Consider the following 18,055-nt stretch of genomic DNA (forward strand, 5'->3'; position numbering starts at 1 on the left):
CTGTGTTAGCCAGGATGGTCTCGATCTCCTGACCTCATGATCCACTCACCTCGGCCTCCCACAGTGCTGGGATTACAGGTGTGAGCCACCGTGCCCAGCCAGTGTGCTGATCTTTTAAAATTTCTTTCCCCAACCCAGTCTCTGCTTTAGGTGAGGTCTGTTAGGTGTATATCCTGTCTGTTAGGTGCACATTATTGGCTTAAAATGTACTTTCCTTTGGTGTGGTCTCTTTGGGGCCAACTGGGAGAAAGAGAAACCAACAGTGCAACTGGTGTGTGTGTGTGTGTGTGTGTGAGAGAGAGAGACAGGGTCTCCCTCTGTCACCCACGCAGGCTGGAGTGTACTGGCATGATCATAGCTCACTGCAGCCTCGAACTCCTGGGCTCAAGGAACCCTCCCATTTCAGCTCCCTGAGTAGTTGGGACTACAGGCATGAGCCACAGCACCTGGAAGAATCTCCTTTCTGGCTTGGCTGACACTTTGTACAAAGTGAGGTTGCCCATAGTGAAGTCTTTCCCTGGGCCCTGTTTTGTTCTCAGTAAGGAAGGCCCGTACACCCTCCCTTCCTCTAGACAGAGGTTGGCCTCACCTTTCGATACCTCCTCCTTGCCAGGAATCCTCGGCTGTAGGCCTGCATTGTGATGGTGGCCATGCGAATCAACTGATACAGGCTGCGAACAAGATACCCGCGGCAGTGCTTCTGAATGATTATGGCTGCCCAAGCTTCTTTTAAGGCCACTGCAGTAATAGCTTTCCTTGGTTAACAAGGATGAAGAGTGAGTCTGTTACCCACAGAGCATCAACTTCCATAACAGAGCTGCAAGCTTGGCTAGCATGTGTTTATAAGGAAGGTTCAAATATTTTACACCTCTCCACATTAAACTCTGTGGGCAGTTTATTCTAATGCCTACTTGAGGCCAGTCCCCAGTTCCCTGTCCTTGAGGAACCACATGGGAACTTTCACTCTTTTCATTCAGGCCAGTCGATTCACCTCCACTCAGGTACCCACAGAGACGATGATGAGACTGTGCACTGGTGCTGCACTTGCTCAATCACGTACTATTTACATATCCCCCACGGCTGCTTTCATGACACAGCAGCAGGAGAGACTGCAAGCCCCCAATGCCTTAAATAGTTATCATCTCGTCCTTTACAGAAAAAGTTTGCTGCCCCTGTCTAAATGACTAGAGGTGAAGATAATGTCCTTACCTTTAGAGTTTACAACCTCATGTACAGAAAGACTAACAAATGGCCAAGAAAGAGGAAAAATAAAATACCACCTAACTAGATCTGTAAGTGAGAGGGGAAAAAAACAGTTATTCTGCTTGGGGAAAGTGGGTATGTGAGCCAGCCCCCAATGCAGTAGGATGTCTGTACACAGTGAAGGCTGGAAAAGGCTTTCAGGATAAGGGACCAGCATGAGTAAAGGCATGGAGGCTCTACAGTGCCTGAAATACTCAGAAAAGGAGTTTGTTTGGAATCACTAGAATAAGATGGATGAAGAAAATTAGACGTCAATGAGGTTAGAAAAATAGATGTGCACCATTTGTTATTTTAAAAACATATTTGTTGAACACCTTCTATGACAGCCACCATGCTAGGTCTGGGTATGAATGACCAGACAAGTGTGGCCCCTGCCCTCATGGAGCTTCCATTCTTATGAATGCACCCAGGCTATGGAGGGCTTTGAATATCACGTCAGAGACTGAATGCTATTCTGTAGGAAACACGGGCCTTAAAGGCAGGTGCAGGGCAGTGTCTCAATCAGGCTCTGATGTAGGAAGATGGGAAGGAGGTGGGAGGTGGAGCACGGTGCCATCAGAGTGCAAGGCAGGTGATGCCGTGAGCCTAAACTGGGGGCAGGAGTGGGATGAAATGAATGGGATAGGCAGGAGGCCAGCAGGGCAGGATGATCAGGCTCTGGTGAGCCCCAAATGGGAAGGGAGCGTGGCCTTGGCGGGTAAGATAACTGTGATTTCCTTCCCCAAAGACTGCTGTTATCAACTGGGCACAGAAGCACAGGAGGGCAAGCCAGCCCAGCTGTGTGATCCATGCCACACCACGCTGGTCATGCAGAGAAGGCCAGATGCTGCCACAGTTCAGCCTCCAGCTCAGGAAGAAGTCAGGCTTGCAGACGCAGCCTGACCCTAAACGCCGGCCTTCTCAAGCATCCTCACAGCATCCCAAAGAAGGGGCAGAGCAGGCAGAGAGAAACACAAAGTTTATCTAGGGGCACCCTGGTCTTGTGCTTTCCAGCAGGTACACCAAAGCCCTGGAAGTCCCGGAATGACCGTGGTCCTTCAGTGGGCTGGCAGGGTTGTGTGGACTCTCAGGACCCCTCGAGGCAGGTAGGATCAGCGCAGCTGGTGGACCACCCTCCCCTCAGCCCTTGGCTTGGCTGGGGCTGCTGTGGTCTTCCTGCTTAGGGGTTCTGTGATTGGTTTGCTGCCAGGCCTTGCAGGGACCCCCTCTGCCATGGTGCACCCCACCTGTTGCTGGCAGGCTGGTCGCTGGCTATTCTTGACATCTGTCCTTTGGATCTTCACTAGGGCCTTGCTGATCTTATGCATTTTCAGTTCCCATAGGAAAGGGGCCCCGGGCCTCTCCCTGAGCTTCCGGAACCCTGACTCTCCTTAGTAACACTCTCACCAGCGCTTCCTCCCTGCAGGGCCCTGGGTGTCGGCTCACCACACAGACACCAGGCAGAGCCAGCACTACCTGCCCCTGAGAGACGGACCTTTCTTGCCCTAATGCTCACGACCACAAAGGGGACCCATGCACGTCTGCACCCTGGGTCACAGGAGAAAGGTCCCTTGTCCTTGATGAGTCCTCCCCGCCGGAGATGATCAGCACAGAAAGCCCCACAGTTCCACATGTGTTCCTTGATTCCAACATACCTCACAGTTTGCTGACCCCGGAAGTACTGCTGGATTATCAGGGCGGCTCGTCTCTCTCGGAGGAATTTTTTCCTCTGGAGCCAGCCACGCATGTGCTTTTGTACCATAACACAACTCTGCCTCAGTTTATCCAATCGAAGTTTCTCTAAATAAGCCACTTGTCCTGCTCTGAAGAAAATTTTGGTTTTACCAAACTGGTACTGATTAGAATCCTGGAAGAGAAAAATGATATAGTTAGAATTAAAATCTGTCAGATTTTCTATAATACAGTATTTGGAAAAGAGCTTTAGGGATTCAAAGGTGCCAGAAATATTGTGATTTTGACATTTAAGGCAGAAAACTCACATCATGATCTAGAAATGTATACTTTGAGTTGTTTGTTTAAAATTACCCTGGAGGAAGAAATGGGACTTAGGCTGAGGAATCCATTTGTGGGTGAGAAGGGGAGTGAGTGTCATTTGCGGCGATTCTCAGTTGGGCTGCCAGAGAACTTCAGCCACTCTCTCGTGGTCTCCACATTGGAGTAGAAGAAACTGGGGAAGTTTGGTTTTCTGTCTCCATTTTGGGTTCTCTTCACCATCCCCTTTGCTGGACCTTATAACTCCCCATCTCTTTCCCATCACAACTCATCGCTGCAGCAATGATGTCAATCCACACAAGGCACCATGCCTGGAGCCCATGTGGCTTGGTGACAACCCCAGTTGACCATATCCTATAAGCCTGGTCCACAGAGGACTGGGTTAGATCGTGGGAGAGCTAAACAGGATACGAGGACACTGGGGAGGCCGGAGTTCGGATGTGGGTCCCTAACGGGGACTCATGGCCCACTGAGCACTCTGCTATGGTCTCTTCAGCAGACAAATGCTCAGGGCACATTTTCTTTCCTTTCAGGTGTTCATGATTACAGTCCTGAGCATTCAAGACAAAGATGAAACAGCATGTTTGGGAGATGTGCTTCCAGGAAGGAGACCATGATCCCAGGAGGTGGGGAAACTGACCTGGATGAGTCTGTGTAAAACCACCTTGCACACCTCCTTTTTATCGCTGAAGGAAAGCTCTTGCTTGGTCATGAGAATGCCGTAGCGACTGTAGAACTCGATGTATGTCCACCTGGAAAATCAAAGGGGATCAAAGCCAGGAGTGTCAGAGGAAGCACATTGTGTCTGGGGACTCCGCTGCCTTACCTGCCACTGTTGTCATAGGGCGGGGGTGGTGCAATCTGTCCTGAGGATAAAGGCACTGATCTTTGATACCCTGCCTGCCTGGGACACTACCAAGACCACCCTGAGCACTCCTGTCTGCCCCAGCAATTGTGCTCTTTCTCCCACTCAGCGTCTTCCCTAGTACACGGGGGAGGCGGTGGGGCCACCACCAGCAGCCGAGATGCAGTGATGGGGTGAGAAGGTGGTGTTGACCTCCGACCCCTACAAAGCCTATTTCTCAACCTCTTCTGGACTTCCACAGGGCAGTGGGAAAATCTTGGGGGCACTTTACAGAAGCCAAAAGTATGTGACAAAAATCATGGCAGCCATGTCCTTGGTTCTCAGCATAGCTCTGATGTCAGGTACTTTTCCCTCCAAGACAAGGACGGACAACATACCTGGAAGGGTAGCTCTGTGCACTAATGCGAATCGTTTCTAAAACGCCGCAGGCTCGCAGCTGCTGAACAATTCTTTTGGAGTCAAATCTTTAAAAAGACAATGATATTATGTGTTGAGGCATCGTAATTGCTCAACATGCCCATAAACAGGCACAGCAGACCTGGCTAGACTGTGACCCTATGCCAGGTACCCAGCAGATACTTAATAAGTTTCTATTGCATGACCAAGAAAAATAGCACCTCTGCAAAACAGTCCATAAAGATGCAGTGGGATATAGAGAAAGGAGCAGCTGACTCTGATGGAGGTGGCATTGAGAAGGCCATGGGGGAACTGGCCTTTGAGGTGAGCTTCAAACGACAACCAGGTGGAAAGAAATATGCTAGCTCGCCTGGCCCAAGCACCCACTGATGCTTGAATTTCCTCTACAGAACACCCAACAGGTAGCTCTGCAGCTTAGGTCTCACCCATCTGGTGACCCATACACACACTCACCACCTCCATAGACAGCTCATCCCCCTTTAGGCACCTCTTTCAGCTCTAGCAAGCTACAAGGGACTTGTTACACCTTATATTCACAAGCTTTGGGTCTCCTCCATGGGTCCCAGAGAACAAGAATAATGCCTCATGCCATCATGTCTGAGGACAAATGTTCTGACCTTCTATGACCTTCTACAAACACACATACTCATTCTTCTTTTAATCAAGTAAAAGGTTCAAGTTGCAAAAACTTTAGTTGTAGAAGATTCTTTCAAATCTAGCCCTTTTGCTTAGCCCTGGAGATGAGGGGGTTTAACCAGAGGGGCTGAGCTAACATTTTATGTAAAGGGCAGCATTGTTCTGAATCATTAAAAAAAAACCCAGAAACAGGGTAATCTCAAGACAATTGGAAGCAAATTCTCCAACTTTATGGCAGAAACTGCCTTCCCACGTCTTCGCTGTGTGTTGCATAAGAACACTTACTCAAAGGGTAACTTCTCATCATTTGGCTTGATGCATCGAACGTAGTGGGGCGTCGTCGCATTGAGGGTCTCCATGAGCAAGTACAGAGAGCTGCGGAACTAGGAAACAAAGCTAGAGATCAAACATGGCTCTGAAATAATTTACTGCTTACATCACGGTAAAAAGCAGCCCAACCTTGTTAAGTTACTCAATAGGAAGAAAAGTTAACCTCATGCATAAACACCTATTATGAAAGGTTTCAGTCCGTGACTGTGGTTTATCAGCATGTCCTACTGTTGTGGACAGAACACTAATACTCCCAGACAGCAGAGAACTGAATAAACCATGTTATTGTGCAAGAGCGTGGTTTGCTCCAGTGCGTGCTGCCTTGGAGGTGGAAGTATGACGACGATGAACTTTTTGCAGTGGAGTCCATGTTAGATTGGAAGAGCCCCAGCGTCTGTCCATGTCCAGGCCTGGAATGCGGGTCCTCTGAGTGCCCTGGCTCCCCAGGGCCTGGCCCTGCCTTTAGACCCCTCACTCTCAAACACCTTCTCAGTACCTTGCTCCCAACTGTGGTCCGGAAATGCTTGCTGTTTGGCTTGATGACTTGCTTTGCAGATTTAACTGTAATCATTGAACCAAAAGGAGAAGGAGGAGTTGGATTTTCTTGAAAAAAGTTGGCACAGAGATGAAACTGGAAGGAACAGAGAGGATCTCAATGTCCAAAAGCAACTGCCCACAGTACTCACTCATACAAGCCACGTAAATGGTGACAACAACTCAGCTAAACTAGTGGGCGGTGAACAACCTCACCAACATCTACAGCCAAATCTCAATTCCACAAGACGATCGTCTTTCATAGGGATGGCCCGTGACTTCTTTCCCGAGAAGGGGAACAGAGAAGAAAAGTGTGTAAATGTCTGTATGTGGGTATCACTCTAAGTGTCAGAAAGTGGAAACATCTACTATTCTCACCTCCGTGCCTGGCTCACACTGTGTCTCCACCTGCAATCTCCTCCCTCCTACTCCACATTCTCATCCCTGCAGATCCAAACCCTACCCAGGAATCTCTTAAAATGTTTTCCAGCCCCACCCACTTCGCAATGAATGAATTAATCCCAACTTCTCTGAACCGTCTTCATCTTGTATTTGTACCTCATTTAAAGCACTTACTACCTTCTGCTTTGTATCAGTTATTTCTTTAAATGTCTTATCTTCTCTCAGAGTGAATTTCATATTTTGTTTTGTTTTGTTTTGTTTTGAGACAGGGTCTTGCTCTGCTGCCCAGAAGAAGAGTGCAGTGGCGCAATCATGGCTCACTGCAGCCTCTATCTCCCAGGGCCAAGCAGTCTTCCCCACCTCAGCCTCCCAAGTAGCTGGGACTACAGGCATGTCACCATTCCCTGCTAATGTTTTTTTATATTTTTAGAAGAGACAGGGTCTTGCTTTTTTGGCCAGGCTGGTCTCAAACTTCTGGCCTCAAGCAATCCACCCGCCTCTGCCTCCCAAAATGCGGGGATTACAGGCGTGAGCCACCACGTCTGGCTGGAATTGTGATTCTTCAATGGTTCTATTAGCTGTCCTTCCTGTCATCTGCATGTTTGATTTCTGATTTTGCATATAGTAGAGATTTACAGTAGTTATCTTTTTGAATCTGTGAGCTACAACTTACCACTGTCCAGAGAGTTCACACACACACACACACACACTCTCTCTCTCTCTCTCCTTACTCTTTCCTTATATACATCTAGATCCATGTCAATTATATAATAACTTTAGTTACCCCTAGGACTTTACAGACCTTGCTTGCTCTCAGGATTTCAACCAGCATGTCATAGACGGTGTCTCTGTTTTTCTCCAGGAAACCTTCACATTTATACTCTACCTATACAGAGAAAGCAATTAATTATTCCCAAAGAGGCCAAAGAATATAGCCTCTAAGCACAAGTTTCATCTCTTTTTTAAGAAAGATTAATAAAAAAGGCTACAGAGGCAATCTTACAAAAAGACGTCTGGCTTCTGTGCATCATGGCAGCAGCCCCATTATGTATAAGCTGGGAATGTGTCTTCTCTCCCACCACCTGGGTTTCTCACCTGCCTGCTGATCACTCTGCACTCACCTGTTGGCTCCCTCTGGCCACAGGGGTCCAGTTGCTCCCTGCGGTATGTGCAGTTCCTACAAGAACACCTGACTTAGGTCTCCCTTTGCCTTTGAAGCCACCAGGAGGAGGAAAAAGCTTAGTGGTGTTCATTGGGTTCAAACAGACATCGTTTCCTAAATCAACATTAATGTGGTAGAAAGGATAGAAAAACCGACCAGCTGACCACCAAGCCTTCAAGAGCCACCAAGCCCTCAGAATCAGGTTTAGAGTGGGTCAACCTTTGCACTGCTTGAATCTAGCTTAGAAAAACTCTCCATGCTGCCCTTTCTGATGAAGAAGGCTTCTCGAATGCCTCAAACCATGGCATATCCAGGGTGGCTGCTTCAACATTCAACCTCCCCCTAGTTTATGCCTCTGGATTGCATATCTTAATATGTGATAATTTATTTTTCATAAATTAAAAACGTATATTAAAATTAATTTTAAAAATTGACAATGAGGAAACAGGGGAGAGTGCTGGAATCCGTAAGCAGAGGGTTCCCTGGGCATGGCCTCTGCTTTGTCCCCCAGGTAAGGAAGTATCCTTGCCGGTAGGTAGGTTAAGATCCAGGAACACCGGCTGTTTGCAAACACTTCTTTGTGAATGAAGTACCTGGATTGTTGTACAAATTCTTCCAGAATGGTGGTGTGAGCCACTAGGACAGATAGACAAAGGTGGCAAATACAGAGCTTTCCTGGTCTGGGCGAGCATCTGTGGGGACAGTGTCACATGCAGCTGGTGCCTCTGTTGGGGACTCTGGGACCAAAGGAAGATGTGCTGAGCTGCTACATCTAAGCTCAGCTGACTTGCATTCAATACGACCTGATTTCCCTGGCCAATGAGATTGAAAACCTAATCTAACCCCATAGTGCATGTGGGTTCTTCCCACCAATCAATCCATAGTCCAGCCCAAACGCTGCCTAGTTCTTTTAAGGGAGACTTCTTGGAAGTGGCAGGTGAGAGAATTACATGTCCAGAAACTACATCCTATAAAGAGAGACCCTTGAAAGAAATCCCATATGTGCTTTTTATGGAGTCTGGTCTTTCCCCCTCCCTTTTCCTATGGGACCAGAACCCTGAAATTATGACAATAGCTAGGAAATATAATTTGACATATGATCATTTCATTTCATAGGCATCTTTTCAGGAGCCCATCTGAAAAAGTCTAAGCACTAAAAACTTATCTTTTTTTTTTCTTTTTCTTTTTCTTTTTTTTTTTTGAGACAGGGTCTCACTCTGTCAGCCAGGCTGGAGTGCAGTGGCGTGATCTTGGCTCAATGCAACCTCCGCCTCCCAGGTTCCAGCAATTTTCCTGCCTCAGCCACCTGAGTAGCTGGGATTACAGGTGCGTGCCACCACGCCTGGCTTATTTTTGTATTTTTTAGTAAAGATGGGGTTTCGCCATGTTGGCCAGGCTGGTCTCAAACTCCTGGTCTCAAGCGATCCACCCGCCTCAGCCTCCCAAAGTGCTGGGATTACAGGTGTGAGCCACTGCACCCGGCCAATCCTATATTTTAATATTTTACAGTACTCTGCTAGCACACAAAGGTGATCACAGCTTTCCAGGTTGCTGTCCCCTCCCTCCACCATCAGTCACTCGGGAATGACCAGCTCTGACTCACAGCACCGGCCTCTGCGATAAACATAGACAAGCACAAGCCATTCCTGTGAGCCCTGGCACTGGGCTAGGCCACCAAGGCAACACCCAACCAGGACATGGGAGGAGGTAGGAGCTCCCTTAAGGAAGGAAAACAAATAAGAATGTACATTTAGGGCAGGTGGTTATGGCAATTTTTTCCTTCTGTTTTCTAAGCTTTCTATAATGTGATTTTAACAAAAATTTTTCATTTTAGACAAGTAACATTTGTTTAGTAAAAAGAAAAAGGAGACGTATAAAGAAAAAGAAGACACAAAAGATGAAAAAAAGCACGAAGATAACCCATTATCATCTTGAGTTAACCTATGTTGCCACTGTAATATAGTCCAGTTTAATCAAATAGAACTTCAGAAAAAAATATAGCTTTCATCATAAGGAAGAATTATGCTGTCTTGATTATCACAATTTCATATAGAAAATAAACTGATAAGAGGTTAATGAAATTCAGTAACTTCAGTACATCCAAAATCAGAAGTGTGGTCTTCTAACAACACATTCGTCTTTAAAGTAGTACAGTTGGAACTCATGTATCTCGCCACAAAAACAAATAAGGAACTGTTAAACACACACTCATCAAAGCTACATGTTAAGTATGACTTGAATCTGATCAGAAACATTCCTGGCCTGCCTACTCCTTCTGGAGGCTGTACAGGTTCCGGGGTTGACAGCATTGATGGAGACCTTCACGGTACCTTATCAGCAAAGTGCTGGATGACAAAGGATGTGTTTGACATTCTAGGCTTTTCAAACAAAGGGTTCCTGTTGACAAAATTATTATACAGCTTTTGAAGCCAGTTTTCATCAGTTCCATGTGGTAACTGGAAAAGAAAAATAAACCAAATAGCAAGTAAGAAAACCAGAGATTCATACAGGTGAGGAAAAGCACTAATTCTAAGAAACCAAGGTGATTTGGCACTTAGTGAACTGCTCTCAATTAGAGGCTTTTTATTTATTTATTTATTTATTTATTTATTTATTTATTTTTGAGATGGAGTCTGGCTCTTCCACCCAGGCTGGAGTGTGATGACGCGATCTTGGCTCACTGCAACCTCTGCCTCCTGGGTTCAAGCGATTCTCCTGCCTCAGTCTCCTAAGTAGCTGGGATTACAAGTGCCTGCTACCATGCCTGACTAATTTTTGTATTTTTAGTAGAGACGGGGTTTCACCATGTTGGCCAGGCTGGCCTCCAACTCCTAACCTCAGGTGATCCACCCACCTTGGCCTCCCCAAAGTGCTGGGGTTACAGGCAAGAGCCACTGCGCCTGGCCTTAGAGGCTTTTAAAAAAGCAACTTTAGGCATTAATTTATCCTTGATCTTAATCTTTAGGGCACTTTAAAAATTATTATTAATTGACAAATAACAATTATATATATTTGTGGGGTATTTGATGTGATATTTTAATGGATACATCAAAGTCTCTTTAGAAGAACAAAACTTTAAAAAGAAATGGTCACACAATGACTTTAGAATGAAGAATTTTATTTCTATAAAATAGGCAGTATTTTATTTCTTCCCAAAGAAATCTAAAGGTTCAGGAAAAAATAGTGTGGGTTCCATTACACGAACATGACCTTTATTCACGGGTGAATGGGAAAAGACTGGCACCTGAATAGAGAGTCCTCCCCTTCCCCTGCCTCAGGAAAATAGTTTTTCTTATTTTACTTCCTAATTAACTCACTCCTTGAAATAAGGGCATACCTCCTTGTACTAAGCTAGTTGCGAAATTTGATCTTGATACATGTGATTTTTTTTTTTTTGAGATGGAAACCCCATCTCTACTAAAAATACAAAAATTGGCCGGGCGCAGTGGCTCATGCCTGTAATCCCAGCACTTTGGGAGGCCGAGGCAGGCGGATCACGAGGTCAGGAGATCCAGACCATCCTGGCTAACATGGTGAAACCCCGTCTCTACCAAAAATACAAAAAATTAGCTGGGCATGGTGGTGTGCGCCTATAATTCCAGCTACTCCGGAGGCTGGAACAGGAGAATCACTTGAACTCAGGAAGCGGAGGTTGCAGTGAGCCGAGATGGCACCACTGCACTCCAGCCTGGGTGATAGAGCAAGACTCCGTCTCAAAAAAAAAAAAAATCCTTTAACCCCGAAACCTTATTAATCCTCACTTTGGGATTATTTGTTCTTGTGGCCCCATGAGAGACACTGCCAGGCTGGCCTACTTCAGAGTTTCCCAGAGGGAAATGGTAAGAAGAAAACTCTAGAAAGCTCTTCTGGTGAATCATACGATGTTGATTTTTCTTGATGACTCACAAGAATCAGGATGTAAAAGAAAACTCAATTCTTATTAGTCACCGACAACTTGAGTGGAGTCACTTGCTGTTTTCATGCATGTTTCTACATACACTTTGGGACAGCCTCCATGCTGGAAGTCAGGTAAAAGAGGTGGTGCAGCTCCCCAAGCGTGGTCTACACAGGCTGAGGGCAAAAGGCCCAGTGGGCCCTCTGGGGTCCCTGCTGTGGATGCTGTCCCAGCATTAATATCCATCCAACCAACTGGATAAACATCAGGACTTCACAAGCACACTTCAAAAAAACTGCTTTGCAAAATGCTCATCTGTTACTACTTAAAAGCTGAAAAAAACAATTATTCTTAAAAGTTACCAAACATTCTTCATCCAGTAACTCCAGAATTCCCATTTTTGCTTCAATCAGGTCAATAACTGGTTGATTGTCATAAAAATCTATCAGCGTCCAAGGTATATCTTCCTTCATGTATTCTTCTTGTTCCAGTTTGAAGACATGCTGGGAATCCAAAGTTAATACAGAAAGTAAAACAGAATATTAAAATACGTTTCCAAAGAGCAGGATGTAAGCATTTGGAAAATGTAAATGGTTGATCTGTAATATTTATGTTTAAAAAGAAGGACCCTGAAGTATAGACAAGGCCCATACCGTGATCAATACCGCCGAGTTCCTAAAGCGAGTCTAGCTGTCATCCTCCCACCTAGTCTGAGTGGGTCTCTACCTCCTAGGACATGGCTTGGGCCAGCCTGTGTCACCACCAGCACCACATGGTACTCAGTGTGGTCCTACAGCCCCTTCCTGCTAGCAGCTATCCAAGGACAGATCCAGCCTCTTTGGCCTAATGCAGCCTGGCTGGGTGGAGCCAGCTACCTGAGAATGCTAGCTGCGGGGCCGGTGGGAGAAGCCCACTGCTTAGAGATCTTCGTGCACTACTCACTTGGGCTGTAAGGGTATCAGGGAGGCTTCCCAGAGGATGTACTCAGGCTTACCATGGAGGATGAAAGAAAGTTTGGCTGGCAGGTGGTGAGGTGGGGTAGGGTGGGGTGGGGTGGGGCATCAAGAAAACCCTCCTATGGAGGAATCCCAGTGGGAACCACATGAAAGCTCAATGGGTGCTTGAGAAACGCACCTCAAGCAGGTTAGAAATTACAGGAGGACAGCAGCAATGTGGTGGCAAAGAATGGTACAGTCAAATCACCTGAGACCTTCACACCCTCCTTAGAGAATTCTGGGCCTATGGCCTTTTTCTAGGAGCAGTGAGGACCCGCTGGAGGGCGGAGGGGTTATGATGAGACCTGGAGGATGGCTCAGAGGAGGGAAGAACCGGAGGCAGTGAGACCAATGAGGACTCAGCCCGATGCTCTTGATGGCTGGGACTCAGGGAGGAGGAAGAGGAGCGAAGAGGTCAGGATGAATGTCAGGCTCAGGACATGGGGTCCATGGCGTGACTTGACCACAGAAAGTCACGTGGAGGGTAAGCGGGCTGAGAGGAGAAGGTGGCACCGGCACTTCTACACTTGCTACTGCTGAGCTCCCTGGGGGCATCAGGTGCAAGGCCCAGTGGCAGCCAGAAGAGGGGGACTGGAGATCAGGAGAGTCCTACCCAAAGCTTTCTGTGCTGACAATTGAAGATACTACCCCTCCTGGGAGGATCTACACATTGATGGATGACTCAGAAAAAGGAGAAGAGGAAAAAGGAAGAGAAGGAGGAGGAAGTGGAAGAGGAAGAAGAACAGGAGAGGAGAACAAAAGCAAAAAAAAAAAAATAGAATTACAGCCTCTGATTTGTGATTTTTGGCAAGACATCTGGTATAAGTGTCACTTTGAGGTTAAGGTGGACATGTTGGGGAGCAGCACGCCATTGCAGCCAGGGAACAGGGTAGCAGCCACAGAGAGTTTGACTTCAGGTGAGTTATACTGAATATGCACTTGGAATAAACCTCAGCTGTAGTTATTAATGTTAAACTTCCAGGAGAGCCTTGCAAATGCTAAAGAAATGAAATTTACAATGGAATGAAATTTAATGGTTATACATGAATTAATTCTGGGCCAAAAAAAAAAAAAGAAACTTCTACTGAGTAGGATTCAATGTTAGGTCTTCTCACAATATTAGACAGTTATTATTGACTCTTTTTAAATTGATACATAATAGTTGTACATAGTTTTGTGGTACATGTGATATTCTGACACATACATACAATGTGTAATGATGACTCATTTTTAAAACAAGGAAACAGAGGCTCAGAGAACCCAAGGTCCCAGAGGGAGGTGGTAGAGCTGAGATTCAAACCCAATTTAGTTTGAGCCAAAGCCCACACTCTCCAAGACGTCATGCTATGTTTTCCTCAGGGGTTCTGAGGGAGCATAAGACTGGACACTAACAAAGGTATAACCTTTCCTTGGAGTAACTGTTAGGGTATTAAAGTGTGATTTCTATTATGAACTGGAATCACCATTCTTCCCATAAACATGTAGCCAAAGTTTAGAATGTAAGCTAAAGGGAAAATGTGAGTTAGTAAAGCATTTTAGCTTTCATGGCTTTTCAGAAACAGAGCCAAATATAAATGTTAAGGAGGCAATTATAAAAAAAATATGAGAGTAGTTTCATGGTAGGGCCAATGTAGAAAGATGTTCAATCAACTTTTAATTTCATTGACTTCTGTTAGGAGCAGAAAGGCGTCAGTACTGTTGGGAATTCAAAAGTGAATTCAATAAAGTTCTTGCATCTAGGGAACTGATTTAAGAGGTTGAAATTGTATTCAATACACATAGCAATAATAAATGCCCAAACAGCCACAAGTAGCATTTACTCAACATTTTTTAAATTGTTTTATTCATCTTTCTACCTCAGCACTTAACTTGGTACCTGGTATACACAGTATACACTCAAAAACGTCTTTTGAATAAACAAATCTTCCCAGTGGAAAAAAAAAATTGGAATCCATCTCCTGTCTGTTTCCATGGGATGATACATTTGATCTTATTGTTAGTTAGGAAGGTACCATATATGTCTTGTTCTAAATTAAGGTTGGAGAAACTCATTCCCATAATCCATTGGCCATCTGCTGTTTAGTGCTGCATGTGCCGAGATAAGCACTGGGCTGAGAGAGACAAAGAATGCCAGTCCTGGCCTCTCCAGGTGACCAAGTCTATTTGGAAACTTGCATGCAAATGATGATAATTCCATGTGACAGGCCTGCGATAAGGAAGCACATAGGAAGAGGCCAGGAGGTATCGCAGGAGGCTCTCAGGGAAGCTGGATCTCAAAACACAAGCTGGAGTTGGCCACGTGAAGATAAAGCAATGGGGAAATAACAGGAGCACGTGGGTTAAGGCAGAGAAAGCAGCAAGTGCAAAGACAGAGAGGCTCGAAAGAAAGTGGAGGCCTCAGGCAACCAACTAAATAGTTTTGTCTGGCTGCACAGAGGGTCTGTATCCAAGAAGGGCAGTGAGGCTCACACATTGGCAGGTGATTCAAAAAAGATGAAATAGATGAGAGGGTGTGATTTCAAGATTTGGCCACAAGGTGGTGCAGTGACCCAGCGTGAGGCTCCTTGCATAAAAATTTGCAACCTCAAGAAAGAAGAATGCCTCTTTCCACGAACACACACACACACACACACACACACGCGCGCGCGCGCGGCTGAGAACTAGTCAAGAAGGCAGAAAGGTCACCTACCATGTTAAACTGTTGTTGCAGTTTTTCATTAGCGTAATTGATGCAAAATTGTTCAAAGCTGTTCACATCAAAGGTTTCAAAACTGAAATACAATTTAAACAAGTTAAAATATAACCTGAAGCAAGACATATGCATTTGTTTATAGATATTTTTTGACACTTAAAAGCTTAAACGTTTGCTATGTCTTCTACAAGTTTTAAATACCCCTCAAAGCTTCTGGTTTTAATGATATCCTAGTAGTCAGTTTATAAATAACCCTTTTCCTGGTTGTCCCCCGGAAGAAATCTGGTAGGTATAAAACACCTACCTCAAGCCAGGCATTAAAATAAGCATGTCACCATATGGTGTAGTCCGCACAACAACAGTGATATTGGCAATTATTATTCTGACTTTATAGGTCAGAAAATAAGCCCGAGAGGTTAAGAAACTTGCCAAAGGTCACACAGCTTGTGTCAGAACTTAGCTGCGAAGCTGCCTGACTGTGATGCCTGTGCCTCCAATGAGAAGGCAATGTGGTTTCCTATTCTCTCCTTGTCTGTTGAGGGGAGGAGCAGCACAACTGCAGCACAATTTTGCCTCCCTAAGGGGTGCTTTCATAGCTCCTAGAGGAAAAGGGCAAAGTCATTTCATATCCTACAGCCCAGCACACCCCATCAGGGACGAGACAGACATGGCTGGCTTCCATATTCAGACTTTCATCAGCTGCCTCTGCAGTTGCCTTGGAGTTGCAAGCTCAAGAACTGAGAGGAGCCCTTGGGGAGGCAGCTGCTACTCAGCTCCTGCCGGATGTAGCCATGGATGAATGCGGCCCAGGATGTTAGATTAATTGATTCTTAAGAAAAGTCAGAAAACTGGGACTTTTAAGTGAATAATCCCACTCTGCAAAACGTGGGCCGAACAAAACAGAGGCACCAAATTTACCACCTGGCCAGATGAGCTCCTGCTGGAAGGCAGCTTGCTGAGCACTTTTAAGGTGTCAGCATTTATGCACGTCACCTCCTATAACCCTAACACAGCCCTATGTGAAGGGCTCCTGTGACTCCACTGTCACACACGAGGGTCAGAGAAGGAGTGACCATGGTGAGGACCAACAGCCAGCAAGTGGTGCCAGAAATGCAATTCGACCCCAGTGCTTGGTGCCTCCAAAGCTTTGTTCTTAATCGCTCTAATCCTGAGAGGTTCCTGCCGGCTCCTATCACAGGTCCCCTGGGAGTCTCACTTGACTGAGCTGGTTTGGCTCAATCTGGAATTCCTGGGCAGGGTAAGAACCTGGACTGTCCTCTAGACAGCTCCAGGGTGATTCATAGCAGCTCTGACAGCCCCATTCCACACGCAGCCTTGGTGGCTCAGAGATTCGGAGGCTGGTCTGCTCATGGAAGCAAGGCCAGGGCTGGGCCTGGGGGAAGATTAAAAAGGGTCTCACTGAGCTCTGCAGCTCACAGCTGGGGCCAAGGGCAGGGCTTTCTAGAACCTGGCAAAATGTCAAACATCAATGCATTATTTTGGGGCACAAAAATCTGAAGTTTAGGACCCATGGAAAGACCTAGATCTGTGACTTAAAATGCTAGAGGCACATTGGCTATGAAAACACTTCACACTGGAACCATGCTTATGGTTTTCAAGGTACCTGCATAATTTCTTCCATCATATGTTCAAAATCACCCTGCAAGAGAGGCCCCATCTTGTAGATGCAGAAACTAAGGCTTGGAGAGGTTCTGTGACTTTCTTGAGGTCACGTAACTGGTATGCTACGGAGCTCATTCCCAGGGGTCTGACCCCCAGACCCAGGTTTTTCCAACTCTGGGTCCAAAGAACATAAATACACGACAGGCTGGGGAGTCACCAGCCTTCATTCACTCTCAGCTTAGACCTTGAAGCTCACAGCTTCAGCTTTACTGGCTTTCAAAGATGCTAAGTCTTCCTTTGAGGCTTCCTTATTTCCAAGTCAAAAAGAGCTTTCTCAAAAGTTGCAGGTATGCCTAGGCGAGGGTTAGCCTAGAAGCGAGGCTGCTGGAGGGGGCGGGAAAGGCTTGGCCCCAGGCTGCAGCCCTGCTGCCTAGAGGAAAGCTGATTTTTTTGGAGGCGTATCATGAACTCAAGGGTGGCAGCAAACAGGCTATTGTTAGAATTTTTGAGAGGAATCTTAAAATAATTTACTCTAACAAGTCTTTGTGTATTTATAAATACTCTTGTCTCAGGTTTTTCCACATAGCTGAAAAATTCAAATTCCTTATTACAGTGGTTCTGGATCCTGCCTGGGGGCCACCGTCCAGCTCACTACTCCTTGCACATGGCTGCCCTTGCTCTGTCCCCACCCTCTGCTAACCTCCAGCACACCTTCCTCCCTTCCCAGGACTCATCCTAACCTCTACTGCCGGCCTGCTGCCCTCACCAGTCTCAGTCCCACGGTGGCAGGAGCCGTACATCTATGCTGTTCAACCACTGCCTCCAACACAGTGCCTGGGACATAAACATCTGTTAGATAAAAATATGAAATAATGGCTGGGTGCAGTGGCTCACGCCTGTAATCCCAGCACTTTGGGAGGCCGAGATGGACAGATCACAAGGTCAGGAGATCGAGACCATCCTGGCTAATACGGTGAAACCCAGTCTCTACTAAAAATAAAAAAAATCAGCCGGGCGTAGTGGCAGGTGCCTGTAGTCCCAGCTACCCAGGAGGCTGAGACAGGAGAATCGCTTGAACCTGGGAGGCAGAGGTTGCAGTGAGCCGAGATGGTGCCACTGCACTCCAGCCTGGGCAACAGAGCAAGACTCCGTCTCAAAAAAAAAAAAAAGAAAAAAAAGAAAGAAATAATATACTGTTAAAATAAAGGACTGTCATTTAAAAATACATCTTAAAAACACCCAAAAGAAC

General features: G+C 46.0%; 1 protein-coding gene across 5 annotated transcripts in view, besides 1 other annotated feature; it reads right to left on the minus strand.

Moving 5' to 3' along the window:
* The window catches only part of MYO5C (myosin VC), a 103,483-nt gene that overhangs the window by 49,137 nt on the left and 36,291 nt on the right, over positions 1-18,055 (minus strand). For 2 of the 5 annotated variants that reach the window (NM_018728.4, XM_047432846.1), the window contains 10 exons: positions 15,181-15,262; positions 11,859-11,999; positions 9,932-10,057; positions 7,242-7,325; positions 6,000-6,134; positions 5,459-5,556; positions 4,498-4,584; positions 3,896-4,007; positions 2,898-3,109; positions 590-755 (listed from right to left, as the gene is read on the minus strand). In NM_018728.4, coding sequence (NP_061198.2) covers positions 590-755; positions 2,898-3,109; positions 3,896-4,007; positions 4,498-4,584; positions 5,459-5,556; positions 6,000-6,134; positions 7,242-7,325; positions 9,932-10,057; positions 11,859-11,999; positions 15,181-15,262 — 1,243 coding nt within the window. The remainder of the gene's footprint in view (positions 1-589; positions 756-2,897; positions 3,110-3,895; positions 4,008-4,497; positions 4,585-5,458; positions 5,557-5,999; positions 6,135-7,241; positions 7,326-9,931; positions 10,058-11,858; positions 12,000-15,180; positions 15,263-18,055) is intronic. The other 3 variants (XM_011521781.4, XM_047432845.1, XM_017022408.3) reach the window with 3 other exon arrangements.
* Positions 15,859-16,435: an enhancer, noted in NCBI's record as "H3K27ac-H3K4me1 hESC enhancer chr15:52549514-52550090 (GRCh37/hg19 assembly coordinates)". NCBI's record gives its function as "activates a minimal SCP1, AML or CMV promoter by ChIP-STARR-seq in primed H9 embryonic stem cells {active_cell/tissue: H9 hESC(primed)}" and the evidence as "EXISTENCE:reporter gene assay evidence [ECO:0000049][PMID:30033119]".

The sequence above is a fragment of the Homo sapiens genome, chromosome 15 (assembly GCF_000001405.40).
Source record: "Homo sapiens chromosome 15, GRCh38.p14 Primary Assembly".
NCBI classification, from domain to species: Eukaryota; Metazoa; Chordata; class Mammalia; order Primates; family Hominidae; genus Homo; species Homo sapiens.